This window comes from Homo sapiens, chromosome 6 (genome assembly GCF_000001405.40).
Source record: "Homo sapiens chromosome 6, GRCh38.p14 Primary Assembly".
Classification (NCBI taxonomy): Eukaryota; Metazoa; Chordata; class Mammalia; order Primates; family Hominidae; genus Homo; species Homo sapiens.
This window is the reverse complement of record NC_000006.12, coordinates 46112207-46129855: the sequence shown is the minus strand read 5'-3', so window position 1 is coordinate 46129855 and position 17649 is coordinate 46112207. Positions and strand designations below refer to the sequence as shown.

Genomic DNA, 17649 nt, shown 5'->3' with positions numbered 1-17649 from the left:
ACAGGTGCTTGGAGGGGTTGTATCGGACCTAAGAGTAGAGGTTGATTCCACTCTCCCACCACGCACTTTTCGTATCATCCTAGATCTGGATGCCCTTCATGGAACCTAAAAACCAGCGAGTCCCGGAAAGGCCTCAGGCAATTGCCAAGCCGATGGCCTTCTGCCACTTAGTTAATGTGCACCTGGCAGCTTAGGTGGCCGCGGAGAAAGCAACTTTGGCTGCACCAAGGTCCGGCACAAGTCTGGAGAAGCTTCAGCCAGTTCCAGTGAGTTGGGATAAATGAAACGTGGATCTACCATAGACGTCTGTCCGTCTTACTGGATAAGCGAGCACCTTTACCGGGGAAGTTAGGTAATAGTTTACAAGTAAGGTTAAAAGCAGCACAGTGCCTGCGGCAGGGAACCAGTAATGAGTTACAGCTGAGAAATGGGTGCTTACTTTGACAGACGCGTATGTGGGATTGTGCTCCTGCTTTTAATTGGAAGGTTATTTAATAGAATAATGTAACTAAACTTTCCAACATAAAGAGCAGTTACCAAACAGAAGTAGAATTATTCGCTAACAGTTGGGTTGTCCAGGCACACTTGGCAGTGAGAGGATAGCATCTTTTTTCTTTTTATCTGTAGTGCCAAACAGAACTTGGTATAGAAGTACTTGCTAAATCACTATTGAATTTAATTGTCCCGCTTGTTAAAATGCAGGCTCCAGAAGGTATTTTCTTTCTTGTTCACTACTGTATCTCCAGCTCAAATAAAAAGTACAAATAAATTAAGAATATTAATCACATGTGATATCCTCAAGTGTTAAGTATTTAATAGCTGTAAATCCAGTACCTGGATTAGTAAACTGCAGTACTGGACCTTAGATAACAAATTCTGACGTTGGTCCCCTTGGTCTGAACCTTACAGTATAGCTATTACCAACAATCTGGAAGCAGCCATGGAGATGATTTGGCAATAGATGTATTCCGTTGATTATTAGTTTGTGCCTTGATAAATTAATTCCAGTTTTAAGTCTCAGGTTGGCCTGTGCATTGGTGAATATGGGCATCTTAGATCCATGGGCTTTCAGAGCTGGAGGGGATGGTAGTGGGTCTGTAGCTGAATCCCTAGAACCTGCAGACCCTAGAACCTGGTTTGAATACTCACTCTGTCACTCACCAGCAGAGCAATCATGGGCCAGTGTCTCAACCTATTTGAGCTTTCATTTCCTCATCTGCAAAACGCGTCTTGTTACAATACCAACCTCTTACTATCAAATGAATGAGGAAAGCGAGTAGAGTATTCAGCACAGTATCTGACACATGTTGTTTTGGGGATTATTATCATTATGACCAAAAAAGTACCCCAATTTGAACAATAGTCAGGGTAAGGCCAAGTTTTGGGGGAATTTAGGTAATGTCCAATGACATAACATTTAAGATTAGCAGAACTTAAATTTTGTGGCATTTGGGGGTATTGTGCATATCCTGTTTGTTCATTCAGTAGGTGCATATGTATGCTTAAAGGGTGGACAAAACTGAATGCCATCTAGGTCAGATGTGTGGTGAAGATAGCAGCTGGATGGGCATCAGGAGAGGACTCTCTTTATCCACTGCTACTGCCTGTGTGGCTGGGTTAAATTAGGGAGTCTCATGCCACCTGGGCTCTTGCTCTGTAAGATAAAGTGGTCAGGAACAGAGGGACAAAATGACACATAAGGACCTTTGGCCCTAAACTTTTGTTATCCTCTATATATTTACCATTTCAACCACAACCAAAATCCTGTTATAGTAAGGATATTTATCGTCTTGTGGAACAAGAAGTCCAGAGGTAAGGCAGACTTCAGGACTGGTTGAGTTAGCAACTCAACGATTTCATAATGTACTCAGTTCTTTGCAGCTTTACACTTGGCTTTTAACAGAGTAGACTTCTGGTTCCTTTAGTGGTAAATATAACTACCAGCAGCAACAGGAACCATGTAATTCATTTTTCACTTCCACTGGGTGATAGAAATGACGTCTAGATTTCTTCTGTCTCTTAGAAGTCTTCAGCAACTGTCTCCTTTAATCACTTTGGACAGAATTGTGTCACATATCCAAATCTAAGCCAGCAAAGGATATGGTTACCTGTAGACCAATGCAGTCCACATCTTAAACTGAGGTCTCACCCAAACTTTACTTTTTTTCTCAATGGAAATGAGTTGGAATGGGTGCTGGGAAGCCGGCCACAAAGTTCACTATAGTTTCATTGTAGAACTTTAATGATAATAAAAGAAAACATAATAGTAACATAAATTTCTTATTTACAATGTGATTTTTAGGCATAAGTGTTGTTTTATTTAGGTAGGCAAAATAATATTCATTTATAATGTTCTTTCAGCTCAGCTTTTGCAAAGGGAATTTTATATAAATTTTGGAAATATAGAGAGCCTTTAAACCCATTTTATGTTAGAGATTGAAATGAATTAGAGGCAATAGTCTAAACTTATTATTTACAAATGAATATACCCCACAGAGAAATGACTGAGCAAACATACAGTTAGATAGAAGAAATATATTCTAATGTTTGATAGGAGAGTAGGGTGACTATAGTTAAATGTATTTTATATTTCAAAATAGCTAGAAGACAGGACTTGAAATGTTCCCATCACATAGAAATGATAAATACTCGAGGTAATGGATACCCTAAATACCCTGACTGGATTGTTACACGTTCAATGCATGTAACAAAATATCACATCTGCCCTATAAATGTATAGAAATATTATTTATCAATACACAAAAACTAAGTACAACTAGAGCATTTGCCTCTATGGGGCAATGTCAGATTTGGAAGCAGCATGTCAAAGGCAGTTTCTTTTTCTCCCATGAACTACGCTCAAGACTGAACATTTATTCATTAACACAAAATATTTTAAAAATCTTATCCTGTTTTCAAAATTTAAGACATAGCTCTCTATACAATTATTTCTCTTTTATACTCCTAATTGTGATGTATAACTCATTGCTGGCCAGGAGAAGGTCAGAAGTTAGAAGTTACAGGAAGAAGGTTTCAGAGCAAAAGCCACACGCTTCCCAAAGAAAAACAATTCCTGTCCACTGCTCAGTTCTAATTAAACAACAACACAACTGAAACTAAATAATTGAATGTCAAGGAGAGTATTTAAGGTTCACTTTTTAATATAAATTAGATGTTTAAGTAATACAGATTTTATCTTAAATATAACAGGGGAAAAGGACCTTATGAATCATTGCATTTTAGTGATTTTGAAAGTTCCTTTGGTGAAAACTTTTCACCTACTCCATTTTCAGTAAGATTATATTGGAATAATCTCAATCAAGTTAAGATTGTAAAATATTTTTAAGTGCTCCTTTAAAAAATGATTCTGTATTAACCACCATGAACTATTGTGTTAGACCTTCACTCTAAAGGAATTTTTTCAAATATTTAATAAAGCTGTGAAAGAATCAGTATAAATTCTTTTGAGGCTTTCCTATGTGGAGAGCAATGTGCTCAATTTTTCAAAAGATACAAAAATAAGTAAGATTAATTCCTTGCCCTCAAGGTGCCTCTAATCTAAGAAAATGAATGGAGAGGACATTACTCTCTTGCTTTTGCCTGCCCAGCATTCATTCCTCCTCCTTCTGGCAATTCCTCCAAGAGACAAACCCACCTTCATTCTTTGACTATGGGAGTCAGATGGGGCTGACTGTTAATTCCCCTCATCCACGGGGCAGACTCCTAAGGTGCCAGCTATCTTGGTTTGTCCCAAATGGAAGAGGTTCCTGGGACATGGGATTTTTAATCCTAAAATCAGAAAAGCAACAAGCAAATCGGGGTGAGTTGGTCACCCTAAGCCTGACTCAAACTTGGCCTTTTGGAGCCAATTTTACTCCATTAACCACATGAATTAGTTCAGTGATGGGGACATGCCTCAGTCCAGGCCATAAAGACTCAATTCTGAAACTTTTGTTGAAATAATTGGGAAAGAGTCCCTGTTTCAGCAACAATTGCTAAATAGGTAGAGTATAAGCTTACCTATTTGGCAATTGTTGATAATCTACCTATTTAGCAATCACTGAAGCTGCTGGTGGCCATCATTGTCACTGTAAAGGGAAAGTCTACCTGAGAAGAAAGCAAAGCCAAGAGCTGGAGTCCAACACGTGATGACATTGAGCACGTGGGTCCAAGTTAACCTGAAGCTCCATCCTTGGACTTTTCACTTTACATGACTCAGTAAATTATCTTTTTGCTTAAACTATTTTTTTAACTTTTTAAAAATATATATATATATTTTAATTATACTTTAAGTTCTAAGGTACATGTGCACAACGTGCAAGTTTGTTACATATGTATACATGTGCCATGTTGGTGTGCTACACCCATTAACTCGTCATTTACATTATGTATATCTCCTAATGCTATCCCTCCCCTCTCCTCCCACCCCACAACAGGCCCTGGTGTGTGATGTTCCCCTTCCTGGGTCCAAGTGTTCTCATTGTTCAATTCCCACCTATGAGTGAGAACATGCGGTGTTTGGTTTTTTGTCCTTGCGATAGTTTGCTGAGAATGATGGTTTCCAGCTTCATCCATGTCCCTACAAAGGACATGAACTCATTATTTTTATGGCTGCATAGTATTCTGTGGTGTATATGTGCCACATTTTCTTAATCCAGTCTATCATTGTTGGACATTTGGGTTGGATCCAAGTCTTTGCTATTGTGAGTAGTGCTGCAATAAACATATGTGTGCTTTTGTCTTTATAGCAACATGATTTATAATCCTTTGGGTATATACCTAGTTATGGGATGGCTGGGTCAAATGGTATTTCTAGTTCTAGATCCCTGAGGAATCGCCACACTGTCTTCCACAATGGTTGAACTAGTTTACAGTCCCACCAACAGTGTAAAAGTGTTCCTATTCCTCCACATCCTCTCCAGTACCTGTTGTTTCCTGACTTTTTAATGATCGCCATTCTAACTGGTGTGAGATGACATCTCATTGTGGTTTTGATTTGCACTTCTCTGATGGCCAGTGATGATGAGCATTTTTTCATGTGTCTGTTGGCTGCGTAAATGTCTTCTTTTGAGAAGTGTCTGTTCATATCCTTTGCCCACTTTCTGATGGGGTTGTTTGTTTTTTTCTTGTAAATTTGTTTGAGTTCTTTGTAGATTCTGGATATTAGCCCTTTGTCAGATGAGTAGATTGCAAAAATTTTCTCCCATTCTGTAGGTTGCCCATTCACTCTGATGGTAGTTTCTTTTGCTGTGCAGAAGTTCTTTAGTTTAATTAGATCCCATTTGTCAATTTTGGCTTTTGTTGCCGTTGCTTTTGGTGTTTCAGACATGAAGTCCTTGCCCATGCCTATGTCCTGAATGGTATTGCCTAGGTTTTCATCTAGGGTTTCAATGGTTTTAGGACTAACATTTAAGTCCACCTTGAATTAATTTTTGTGTAGGGTGTAAGGAAGGGATCCAGTTTCAGCTTTCTACATATGGCTGGCCAGTTTTCCCAGCACCATTTGTTAAATAGGGAATCCTTTCCACATTTCTTGTTTTTGTCAGGTTTGTCAAAGATCAGATAGTTTTAGATGTGTGGTATTATTTCTGAGGGCTCTGTTCTGTTCCATTGGTCTATATCTCTGTTTTGGTACCAGTGCCATGCTGTTTTGGTTACTGTAGCCTTGTAGTCTAGTTTGAAGTCAGGTAGTGTGATGCCTCCAGCTTTGTTCTTTTGGCTTAGGATTGACTTGGCAATGTGGGCTCTTTTTTGGTTCCATATGAACTTTAAAGTAGTTTTTTCCAATTCTGTGAAGAAAGTCATTGGTAGCTTGATGGGGATGGCAATGAATCTATAAATTACCTTGGGCAGTATGGCCATTTTCATAATATTGATTCTTCCTATCCATGAGCATGGAATGTTCTTCCATTTGTTTGTATCCTCTTTTATTTCATTGAGCAGTGGTTTGTAGCTCGCCTTGAAGAGGTCCTTCACATCCCTTGTAAGCTGGAATTCTAGGTATTTTATTCTCTTTGAAGCAATTGTGAATGGGAGTTCACTCATGATTTGGCTCTCTGTTTGTCTGTTATTGGTGTATAAAATGCTTGTGATTTTTGCACATTGATTTTGTATCCTGAGACTTTGCTGAAGTTGCTTATCAGCTTAAGGGGATTTTGGGCTGAGACAATGGGGTTTTCTAGATATACAATCATGTCATCTGCAAACAGAGACAATTTGACTTCCTCTTTTCCTAATTGAATACCCTTTATTTCTTTCTCCTGCCTGATTGCCTTGGCCAGGACTTCCAACACTATGTTGAATAGGAGTGGTGAGAGAGGGCATCCCTGTCTTGTGCCAGTTTTCAAAGGGAATGCTTCCAGTTTTTGCCCATTCAGTATGATATTGGCTGTGGGTCTGTCATAAATAGCTCTTATTATTTTTAGATACCTCCCATCAATACCTAATTTATTGAGCATTTTTAGCATGAAGAGCTGTTGAATATTGTGGAAGGCCTTTTCTGCATCTATTGAGATAATCATGTGGTTTTTGTCTTTGGTTCTGTTAATATGCTGGATTACGTTTATAGATTTTCATATGTTGAACCAGCCTTGCATGCCAGGGATGAAGCCCACTTGATCATGGTGGATAAGCTTTTTGATGTGCTGCTGGATTCGGTTTGCCAGTATTTTATTGAGGATTTTTGCATTGATATTCATCAGGGATATTGGTCTAAAATTCTCTTTTTATTCTTGTGTCTCTTCCAGGCTTTGGTATCAGGATGACGCTGGCCTCATAAAATGAGTTAGGGAGGATTCCCTCTCTTTCTATTGATTGGAATAGTTTCAGAAGGAATGGTACCAGCTACTCCTTGTACCTCTGGTAGAATTCGGCTGTCAGTCTGTCTGGTCCTGGACTTTTTTTGGTTGGTAAGCTATTAATTATTGCCTTAATTTCAGAGCCTGTTATTGGTCTATTAAGAGATTCAACTTCTTCCTGGTTTAGTCTTGGGAGGGTGTATGTGTTGAGGAGTTTATCCATTTCTTCTAGATTCTCTAGTTTATTTGCATAGAGGTGTTTATATTATTCTCTGATGGTAGTTTGTATTTCTGTGGGATCGGCGGTGGTATCCCCTTTATCATTTTTTATTGCATCTATTTGATTCTTCTCTCTTTTCTTCTTTATTAGTCTTGCTAGTGGTCTATCAATTTTGTTGATCTTTTTAAAAAACCAGATCCCGGATTCATTGATTTTTTGAAGGGTTTTTTGTGTCTCTATCTCCTTCAGTTCTGCTCTGATCTTAGTTATTTCTTGCCTTCTGCTAGCTTTTGAATGTGTCTGCTCTTTCTTCTCTAGTTCTTTTAATTGCGATGTTAGGGTGTCAATTTTATGTCTTTCCTGCTTTCTGTTGTGGGCATTTAGTGCTATAAATTTCCCTCTACACACTGCTTTAAATGTGTCCCAGAGATTCTGGTATGTTGTGTCTTTGTTCTCATTGGTTTCAAAGAACATCTTTATTTCTGTCTTCATTTTGTTATGTACCCAGTAGTCATTCAGGAGCAGGTTGTGCAGTTTCCATGTGGTTGAGTGGTTTTGAGTGAGTTTCTTAATCCTGAGTTCTAGTTTGATTACACTGTGGCCTGAGAGACAGTTTGTTATAATTTCTGTTCTTTTACATTTGCTGAGGAGTGCTTTCCTTCCAACTATGTGGTCAGTTTTGGAATAGGTGCAGTGTGGTGCTGAGAAGAATGTATATTCTGTTGATTTGGTGTGGAGAGTTCTGTAGATGTCTATTAGGCCTGCTTGGTGCAGAGCTGAATTCTATTCCTGGATATCCTTGTTAACTTTCTCTCTCGTTGATCTGTCTAATGTTGACAGTGGGGTGTTAAAGTCTCCCATTATTATTGTGTGGGAGTCTAAGTCTCTTTTAGGTCTGTAAGGACTTGCTTTATGAATCTGGGTGCTCCTGTATTGGGTGCATATATATTTAGGATAGTTAGCTCTTCTTGTTGAATTGATCCCTTTACCATTATGTAATGGCCTTCTTTGTCTCTTTTGATCTTTGTTGGTTTAAAGTCTGTTTTATCAGAGACTAGGATTGCAACCCCTGCCTTTTTTTGTTTTTCATTTGCTTGGTAGATCTTCCTCCATCCTTTATTTTGAGCCTATGTGTGTCTCTGCACAAGAGATGGGTTTCCTGAATAGAGCACACTGATGGTTCTTGACTCTTTATCCAATTTGCCAGTCTGTGTCTTTTAATTGGAGCATTTATTCCATTTACATTTAAGGTTCATATTGTTATGTGTGAATTTGATCCTGTCATTATGATGTTAGCTGGTTATTTTGCTCGTTAGTTGATGCAGTTTCTTCCTAGCATCAATGGGCTTTAAAATTTGGCATGTTTTTGTAGTGGCTGGTACCGGTTGTTCCTTTCCATGTTTAGTGCTTCCTTCAGGAGCTCTTTTAGGGCAGGCCTGGTGGTGACAAAATCTCTCAGCATTTGCTTGTCTGTAAAGGATTTTATTTCTCCTTCACTTGTGAAGCTTAGTTTGGCTGGATATGAAATTCTGGGTTGAAAATTCTTTTCTTTAAGAATGTTGAATATTGGCCCCCACTCTCTTCTGGCTTGTAGAGTTTCTGCCGAGAGATTAGCTGTTAGTCTGATGGGCTTCCCTTTGTGAGTAACCCGACCTTTCTCTCTGGCTGCCCTTAACATTTTTTCCTTCATTTCAACTTTGGTGAATTTGACAATGATGTGTCTCGGAGTTGTTCTTCTTGAGGAGTATCTTGGTGGCATTCTCTGTATTTCCTGAATTTGAATGTTGGCCTGCCTTGCTAGATTGGGGAAGTTCTCCTGGATAATATCCTGCAGAGTGTTTTCCAACTTGGTTCCATTCTCCCCGTCACTTTCAGGTAACCAATTAGACATAGATTTGGTCTTTTCACATAGTCCCATATTTCTTGGAGGCTTTGTTCATTTCTTTTTATTCTTTTTTCTCTAAACTTCTCTTCTTGCTTCATTTCATTAATTTGATCTTCAATCACTGATATCCTTTCTTCCAGTTGATCGAATCGGCTACTGAAGCTTGTGCATTCATCATGTAGTTCTCGTGCCATGGTTTTCAGCTCCATCAGGTCCTTTAAGGACTTCTCTGCATTGGTTATTCTAGTTAGCCATTCATCTAATCTTTTTTCAGTGTTTTTAACTTCTTTATGATGGGTTCGTACTTCCTCCTTTAGCTCGGAGAAGTTTGATCATCTGAAGCCTTCTTCTCTCAACTTGTCAAAGTTATTCTCCGTCCAGCTTTGGTCCATTGCTGTTGAGGAGCTGCATTCCTTTGGAGGAGGAGAGGCACTCTGATTTTTAGAATTTTCAGTTTTTCTGTTCTGTTTTTTCCCCATCTTTGTGGCTTTATCTACCTTTGGTCTTTGATGATGGTGACGTACAGATGGGGTTTTGGTGTGGATGTCCTTTCTGTTTGTTAGTTTTCCCTTTAACAGTCAGGACCCTCAGCTGCAGGTATGTTGGAGTTTGCTGGAGGTCCACTCCAGACCCTGTTTGCCTGGGTATCAGCAGTGGAGGCTGCAGAACAGCGAATATTGCTGAACAGCAAATGTTGCTGTCTGATCGTTCCTCTGGCGGTTTCATCTCAGAGGAGTACCCGGCCGTGTGAGGTGTCAGTCTGCCCCTACTGGTGGGTGCCTCCCTGATAGCCTACTCAGGCATCAGGGAACCACTTGAGGAGGCAGTCTGTCCATTCTCAGATCTCAAACTGCATGCTGGGAGAACCACTACTCTCTTCAAAGCTGTTAGACAGGGACATTTAAGTCTGCAGAGGTTTTTGCTGCCTTTTGTTTGGCTATGCCCTGCCCCCAGAGGTGGAGTCTACAGAGGCAGGCAGGCCTCCTTGAGCTGCGGTGGGCTCCACCCAGTTCCAGCTTCCTGGCTGCTTTGTTTACCTACTCAAGCCTCACAGTGGTGGGCACCCCTCCCCCACCCTCGCTGCTGCCTTGCAGTTCCATCTCAGACTGCTGTGCTAGCAATGAGTGAGGCTCTGTGGGCGTGGGACCCTCCAAGCCAGGTGCAGGATATAATCTCCTCTTGTGCCGTTTGCTAAGACCATTAGAAAAGTGCAGTATTAGGGTGGGAGTGACCCGATTTTCAAGGTGCAGTCTGTCACAGCCTTGCTTGGCTATGAAAGGGAATTCCCTGACCCCTTGTACTTCCCTGATGAGGCGATGCCTCGCCCTGCTTCAGCTCATGCTCGGTGCACTGCACCCACTGTCCTGCACCCACTGTCCGACAAGCCTCAGTGAGATGAACCCGGTACCTCAGTTGGAAATGCAGAAATCACCCATCTTCTGCGTCGCTCACGCTGGGAGCTGTAGACTGGAGCTGTTCCTATTTGGTCATGTTGGAACCGCCAACCAGTCTGCTTAAACTACTTTTAATTGGTTTTCTACTACTTGTATCTAAATAAGGGCTAAGAAGAGGGACCATGTGTTTGCACTATACTATCAAGTGAGGTAATTGCTATAAAAGAGTCCCAAAAGGAGAAGAGGTTAAATCAGGCAGAGGTTAAATTCAGCTGCAAGAAGTCAGGAAATGGATTCAGGATGAGCTGGTGTTTGATTAATTCTTGCAGATTAGCATGGTGTAAGTAGTTTCCTATGACTGCTCTACCACAAACTTAGTGGCTTGACCAACACAAATTTTTTACTTCCAGTTCTGGAGGTCAGAAGCTGAGAATGGGTCAGCAGGGCTACATTCCTTCTGGATTTCTTGAAGAGAATTCATTTTGTTGCCTTTTCCAGCCTCTAGAGGCCACCTATATTCCTCGACTTGTGGCCTCATACTCTTATCTGCAAAGCATCTTCTAATCTCTCCCTCTCTGATTCTGACTCACCTGCCTCCTTTTTCCCTGATAAGGATTCCACATCGTGATTACACATTGGGCCTACCTAGATGATGCAAGATAATATCTCCCCTTCTCAAGACCCTTACTTAATTATGCCTGGTAGGTCCCCTTTATCACGTAAGGTAACTTGTACAATCTGGGGATTAGGATGTAGACATCTTTGGGTGACTATTAATGTCTGGCTGAGGCAATAGCATTGACAAAGGCACCAAGATAAGAGAAGTATGTTAGTTCTTGAAAATAATTTAATTTTCCTGGAAAATATTTGAGAGATCATTGGGATTGAGGCTGGAAAGTTTGGTTAAAATCATATTATCTTGTAGACAGGGAAGGAATCATACTTCATTTAGTACTTAATGAGGTGCAAAGCACTATACTTTTTGTATTGTAGAAAAAGGGATGACTAAAACATTATCTCTACCCTCAAAAAGTTTACAGTGTAGTAGGGAGAAAGGCGTCTATATGTAAAGTGCCCAGGATAGTCCTAGTTTATGCCTGTTGTGCCCCATAAATATTCATTGTGCCCCCTTTCACCTTCAAAATATCTTGGTCTGGATGATGAAATATGTCATCACCCTACCTAAATGGCATCATCATCAATATTTATTGAATATTACCATGTAGGAGCCCTGTGTTAGACCCTGGGAGAAAGCAAAAGATAGAGGCAACTTTTCTGGGCTCAAGGTGTTTACCATTTAGTTTCAGAGTTCAAAGATGTTTATAACATGATAAGATAACAAATAATATTTGGTCAACAAAGCAGCAGCATAAATGCTAAGCAAGAGAAACAGAAAATAGGTGCTACAGACAGCAAGAGCTGTAAGAAGAAGAGAGACATCCCTGCAGCCTGGGTGAGCTGGGCAGGCTGTGGCCAGTGAGATGCACAGTTGGCACTGGAGCTTCAAATGTAGGCAGGCTTGTGGAAATAGAGATGCACAGGAGGCACCCAGGCAAGGGCATAGACCACTTGTGATGTGTCAATAGAGTTGGAGAAAATTGTCACTGTCTTGTGTTTCAGTATTTCACTGAATCCAGAATACACCCTTTGTTAAGAAATCCTATTATTTTATATACCACTAAAAAAATTGTTGCTAATCAGCTTTAAGAAACATTCTGATTTCAGAGACATTAAAATGTGAAAAAAAATCTATTTTAGAATCAGTGAAATAAGATAATATTTCTTCTCAAATTTAAAGATTCTTGCTAAAGTGGCTCACCTCTGGACTTAATTTCTTTCAATTTTTTAAAATTGTTATTTGTTGTTTCTAATCATTGGTCATCCTATAGCTTTCCCCCAAGGATATTTATATCTCAAACTATGGTACTACAAAAATGTATGTAGAATTTAATAAACATTCTTCCTAATAGTGTGATTAAAAGAATTCTTTTTATTCACAAACCCTCCCTTGGATCCTACTTGAAATCTCCAGAACTAGTATAGCCCACTTAAGATATTAAAAGAGCTATACATTTTAATTGGGTTGAGTCCAGATAGAGTAATATATTAGTTAACCAACACATTTGCATGTATTAGTTTACTGTTTCCCAAACCTGCTGAATTACAGAATCACTTGTGGCTTTTGTTAAAAATGTCCCAAGCCCCTCCTTTGAAGATTTGGATCTAGTAAATCTTATGTGGTGTCTGAGGACTTCTATTTCTCACAGGCACTGGGTGTCTCATGATCAGGCATGTTTGGGAAGTATCAGATTAGGTAGTAAGGGGTAACCTGGTATCCTGGTGTGTTACATGGTGGAGTACAGCTGACAGGACACCATGGGGACACTTGCATGAAGGGGAGAAGCTATTGCATGAAACATGGGGCTCTGTGCACTAGGTAGAGAAGAGCCTCAGATTGGCCAGGGACAATTTGAGGTCACTAAATGCTTAAGTAAGGAAAGGAAGTCTGGAATAATAATTGAACTTTGAATGTGTTGAGTGCTTTGCAGCCTACAAAATGCTTTTACATTAGAGTCTTACTTGGTTTTCACAACTGGTCTGTAAATAAGCATGCCCTTTATATCCATGTTATTTCTAAATCACAGAGGTTAAGGTGTTCACCTAGGGTTCTATGGGAAGTGTCAGGACTGAGCCCTGCAGTGGATGCAGGAGCAGTGGATGAAGGGAGCCCTTCTCTTCTGATGCCATCAGCTGCTGACTTCACCACACATCTGACCTAGATGGTCAACAATTTTGTCCACCCTTTAAGCAACCAGGCACCTACTGAATGAACAAAGAGGATATGGACAATATCCCGCAAGTGCTAGAAAATTTAAGTTCTGCTAAATTGGATATTACATACATTCCCCCAGAGCTTGGCCTTACCCTATTGTTCAAATTGAGGTAAATTTTTCTGGTCATAATGATAGTAATCCCCAACACTTAACATGTGTCAGATACTGTGCTGAGTACTTGCTTTAAAGCTTCTCATTCATTCGACAGTAACCCCAAGAGATATGTACTTAACAGGGCCCTTTTTGCAGATGAGGAAATGAAAGCTCAAATAGCTCGAGACATTGGCCCATGATTGTTCTGCTGGTGAGTAGCAGAGTGAATACTCAAATTCAGGTCTGGTAGGTTCTAGGAATTGTGCTACATAACTTTTACCATCCCCCCAACTTTGACAGCCCATATTCACCAATGCACAGGCCAGCCTTGAGGCTTGAAACTGGAATTAACCGATCAAGGCACAAACTAAAAATCAGAAAAAAACAAATACATCTAGTGTCAAATTCTCTCCAAAGCTGCTTCCAGACTCTGTGGTCTTGCTAATGGTTATACCCTAAAGGCGTCAAATTCTCTCCAAAGCTGCTTCCAGACTCTGTGGTCTTGCTAATGGTTATACCCTAAAGACTTGATAATGATTCTATCATTATCATTCTGGTAATGGCTATACCAATGGGGTCAGGGCCCCACTCTCACATGTTCTAACAATATAGGTAATTTATAGAGGAGGATAAAAAATAGCATGAGTTTTTATAATTATATCCAAAATTTCCAGGTAATTTTACATTTGACTTGAACTTCCTTGAACTTTTTAAGGCCAGCTTCCATCCCTGAAGATACCGGTTCCCTCTTTTATGTCATGTGAAAAACTGGCTGGGCCCTGCCCTATTTCTGACCTGGCATAAATGCCATCTGATTTACTTAACCTAAGGCACCTGGGTGTAACTGGTTTTGTTAGACACATGTAAATATCTTTCCTGCAGATTACAGAAACCCAAGCATTATAATCTCTTTTGACATTCATTAAAAATAAAGGGTCTACTTGTTTCAGTGACATAATTTTTCAGAGATAAACAGAGGCTGCTTCTGTTGAAGTCACCTTTTGTAGAAGGTGAACAAAATTGGTTAACAGTACTGTAATTGTGTTAGTGCATTCTGAAGGTAAAAACATACAAACAAAATGGAAAGTTTTAATTAGTGTAACTCTTTATAGTAAAACCCAAAAGCTGAAAAAAGGGAAAAAATTATTATTATGACATTATAGGACTAGAGGAAGCACAGTTTGGAGCAGCTTATCTATGTTGCCTGCTCACACCCAGGATGTGTCCTACCAGATTCTGCAGACCCAGAAACAGATTAGGGAGCAAGAAATTTGGTAAATTAATATATTTGGTGAGATGGGAAAGTCAGAATCTATGCTCAGCCACAAGGTGTGGCCTCAGTGAAAATGGAGGTGGATTTCTGACCTCTTTTCTAGGAGCTAGTAGAGTACTGGCTTCTCACTGTTCCTGTTTGGATGATAGTGGTGTCATTGCTGACTGCCCATAAATAACCTCTAGGCCCAATTCCTCAAATTACTCTTAGCATCATGGTTTCCAACTATCCTCCTAAGCTCTCAACCAGAGGTCCAGAATCTCTCCAGGGTCACCTACTATGGTCCGGTCTCCAGGGATTCAATGGAGTTGCTAAGCTACTACTCAAATCCCCTGTCTTCTCCTTTTCTCTCCACATAACTCATCGTCAGTGCTTAGATATCCTTGTGTCAATGAGCTGTCTTGTTATCATCCCTGGATTTTTGCCCTGGTCACCCACTGGTTCATAGAATCTCCTAGCCACCCATGACCTCCATATCACTCTCCCAAGTCCCCCATATGCTCAGCAACCTCTTTCAGCTGCTTCTGTAGCCCTCAGACACATGCAGGACCTCTCAGAGATTTATACAAGTTGTCCATCTGTGTTAGTTTGCTAGGACTGCCATAACAAAGTACCAGAGACTGGGAGGCTTTAAACAATAGCAATTTATTTTCTCATAATTCTGAAGGGTTGAAGAACTGTTAGAATAGGCAGATTGATGCAAGCAGGCAGGAGGACCCCTTGAAAAAAGGGAGGTCTGGAAAATCTCACATGCCAGAGACCACCTGAAACACACATGCTACACAGGATCAGAGAGGAGGGCAAGTACCTATACAGGAAGGAACTCCCATTAAGATGCCCAGTAAGAGTATGCTCTGCAGTTAACCTGACAGAATGTAGCTAGATACATGCTGATAAGGAGGAAAGAGGGCAAAAGAGAAATTCCTAAGAGATACTCAGGTGCAATAAGTATAGGTTTGACTGCTATCCCATCTTCTGGGGGTGACGGTAATGAGCAGTGCTGCCAATAGGTAAAATTTGCAGCCAACACTGGGCTGCGCATGCACATCAACTGACAGTAAAGGAGAATCCCACAACCCTGGTATGGGAACTAGGTGGGGGAAAGGCAGGGACTTAAGGCAATAGCGGACAAACTAGACAAAGAAAAAAGGTAGAGACTTAAAGCAGAGCTGGGAACTTCAAGAAAGGGTTCCACATAATAAAAACTGCAATGTAGAGCTCTTGGGGCTGCTGGCCTACTCACTCTTTCAGGAGCCCATTCTGCCTCATCTTTCAGAGTGTAATGTCTCTTTAAATAAACTCTCTCCTCTCCATTTCCCTTCAATAAAGCTCTCTGCTATCTTTGAACTGTTTCTTCGCTGAAATCTTTCTCCCAAAATGACTAAGGACTGAAGATTCCCCCCACTTTCTGGTAACAGAACAATATCAAGGTATCAGCAGAGTGGGTTTCCTCTGAGGGACACTCTCCTTGGCTTATGGATGGCCATCTTCTCTCCATCTTCATGTGGTTTACCCCACTGTGCATGTTTATGTCCTCATCTCTTTTGATAAGGACGTTGGTCAGATTGGGGCCAACCTCTGTGGCCTCATTTTAAATTGATTACCTCTTTAAAGGCCCTGTCTCCAAATGCAGTCATATTCTGAGGTACTAGGGGTGAGGACTTCAATATATGAACTTTAAGGGGGCAGGGACACACAATTCAGCCCATACCATCTAATTAAAGAAGTGTCTGGTCCCCTTGCCAGCATGACTCACCTGTTTGCAGATTTGACCCACCTGCTGGTAAGTGTGCCACACCTGCTGGCCGGTGTCATATAACTGCTCACATCACTTACCTGCCTACTGACAGAACCTGCCTACTTGCTGGGCTGTAAGAAACCCCTGACTTCCTAATAGCCACAGCCTGATTCCTGACATCACCTGTTTGCAAAGCTGCCCCACAACTTGTTTCTTACCTCCTCCAGCAATGCCTCAGGCCACCCCCCTTCTTCCCGAACCCTACTCTACTCACCTTCTAGCTGTTTCTTTCCTTCCCACTTCTTACTCTCTAGTCTTCACTCAGCAGCCAGTTGGAGCTTTTGAGTTAGAAAATCATTTCCTGTGGCTCATTTGCTCAGACACTACAAATGTTCTCTCATATTCAGAATTAATCCAGTGTCCTTACTGTGGCTGATGGTGCCTCACAGGATCTGACCCCTGAGTAGTTGCGTATTTCCCAGACCTCAGTTCCCTCCAACTCACAATCTCATATACATCATCCTTAACAACCTGGCCTGGCCTACTACTTATTCTTTTTGTTTTTTGAGACAGATTCTCGCTCTGTCACCCAGGCTGGAATGCAGTGGCATCATCTCAGCTTATTGCAACCTCCACCTCCTGGGTTCAAGTGATTCTCCTGCCTAGCCTCCTGAGTAGCTGGGACTACAGGTGCCTGCCACCACACTCGGCTAATTTTTATATTTTAAGTAGAGATGGGGTTTCACCATGTTGGCCAGGCTGTTCTCAAACTCCTGACCTCAGGTGATCTGCCCATCTTGGTCTCCCAAAGTTCTAGAATTACAGGCATCAGCCACAGCGCCCAGCCTGCTTGTTCTTATTTCTTCTTCTCAGAGACCTTGATAAGCTCATTTATGCCTCAGAACCTTTGCTGCATCCCCACTGCCTAAACCACCCTCCACACAAAGCTTTGAATTTCTCATCCCCATATTCATTAAATCTCTGCAAGAGAAACTGTGTTTACTAATAAGTGTATACAATTGCTAATAACCCACAAAAGTCAGATTAATTGGAGAAAAGGCATACAAATTTATTAACATGCACGTGGGGGGCAAACCACAGAGTGATTACCCCCCCAAAGGCATTCAGAAGCCGATACACCATCTTGAAGATGCAGAAAGAATGGGGACTTGGATTGCGGCAAAACAGATTATGGTGGTAAAACAGGTTATGAAAGGGGGAAAAGATGGGAGTAGCTAGCAAAGGTGGTCTTGTTATATAATAAAACTCACAGGTGAAAGCTCTTAGAGAAAATAGATGGTAAATGTTTCTTTTAGACCTTTTAAGATAATCAGACTCTCAGGTAATTTTTTCTAGGTCCAGACAGGGGAAGGCCTCAGAGAAAAGCTGGCTGCATCTATGCAGATTATCTACTG

General features: G+C 40.8%; 1 protein-coding gene across 2 annotated transcripts in view; it reads left to right on the top strand.

Annotated features, from left to right (window-relative positions):
- Window positions 37–17649, top strand: part of CLIC5 (chloride intracellular channel 5) — a 248993-nt gene continuing 231380 nt past the window's right edge. For both annotated transcript variants that reach the window (NM_001370649.1, NM_001370650.1), the window contains exon 1: window positions 37–352. The gene's annotated coding sequence lies outside the window, so the exon portion shown is untranslated. The remainder of the gene's footprint in view (window positions 353–17649) is intronic.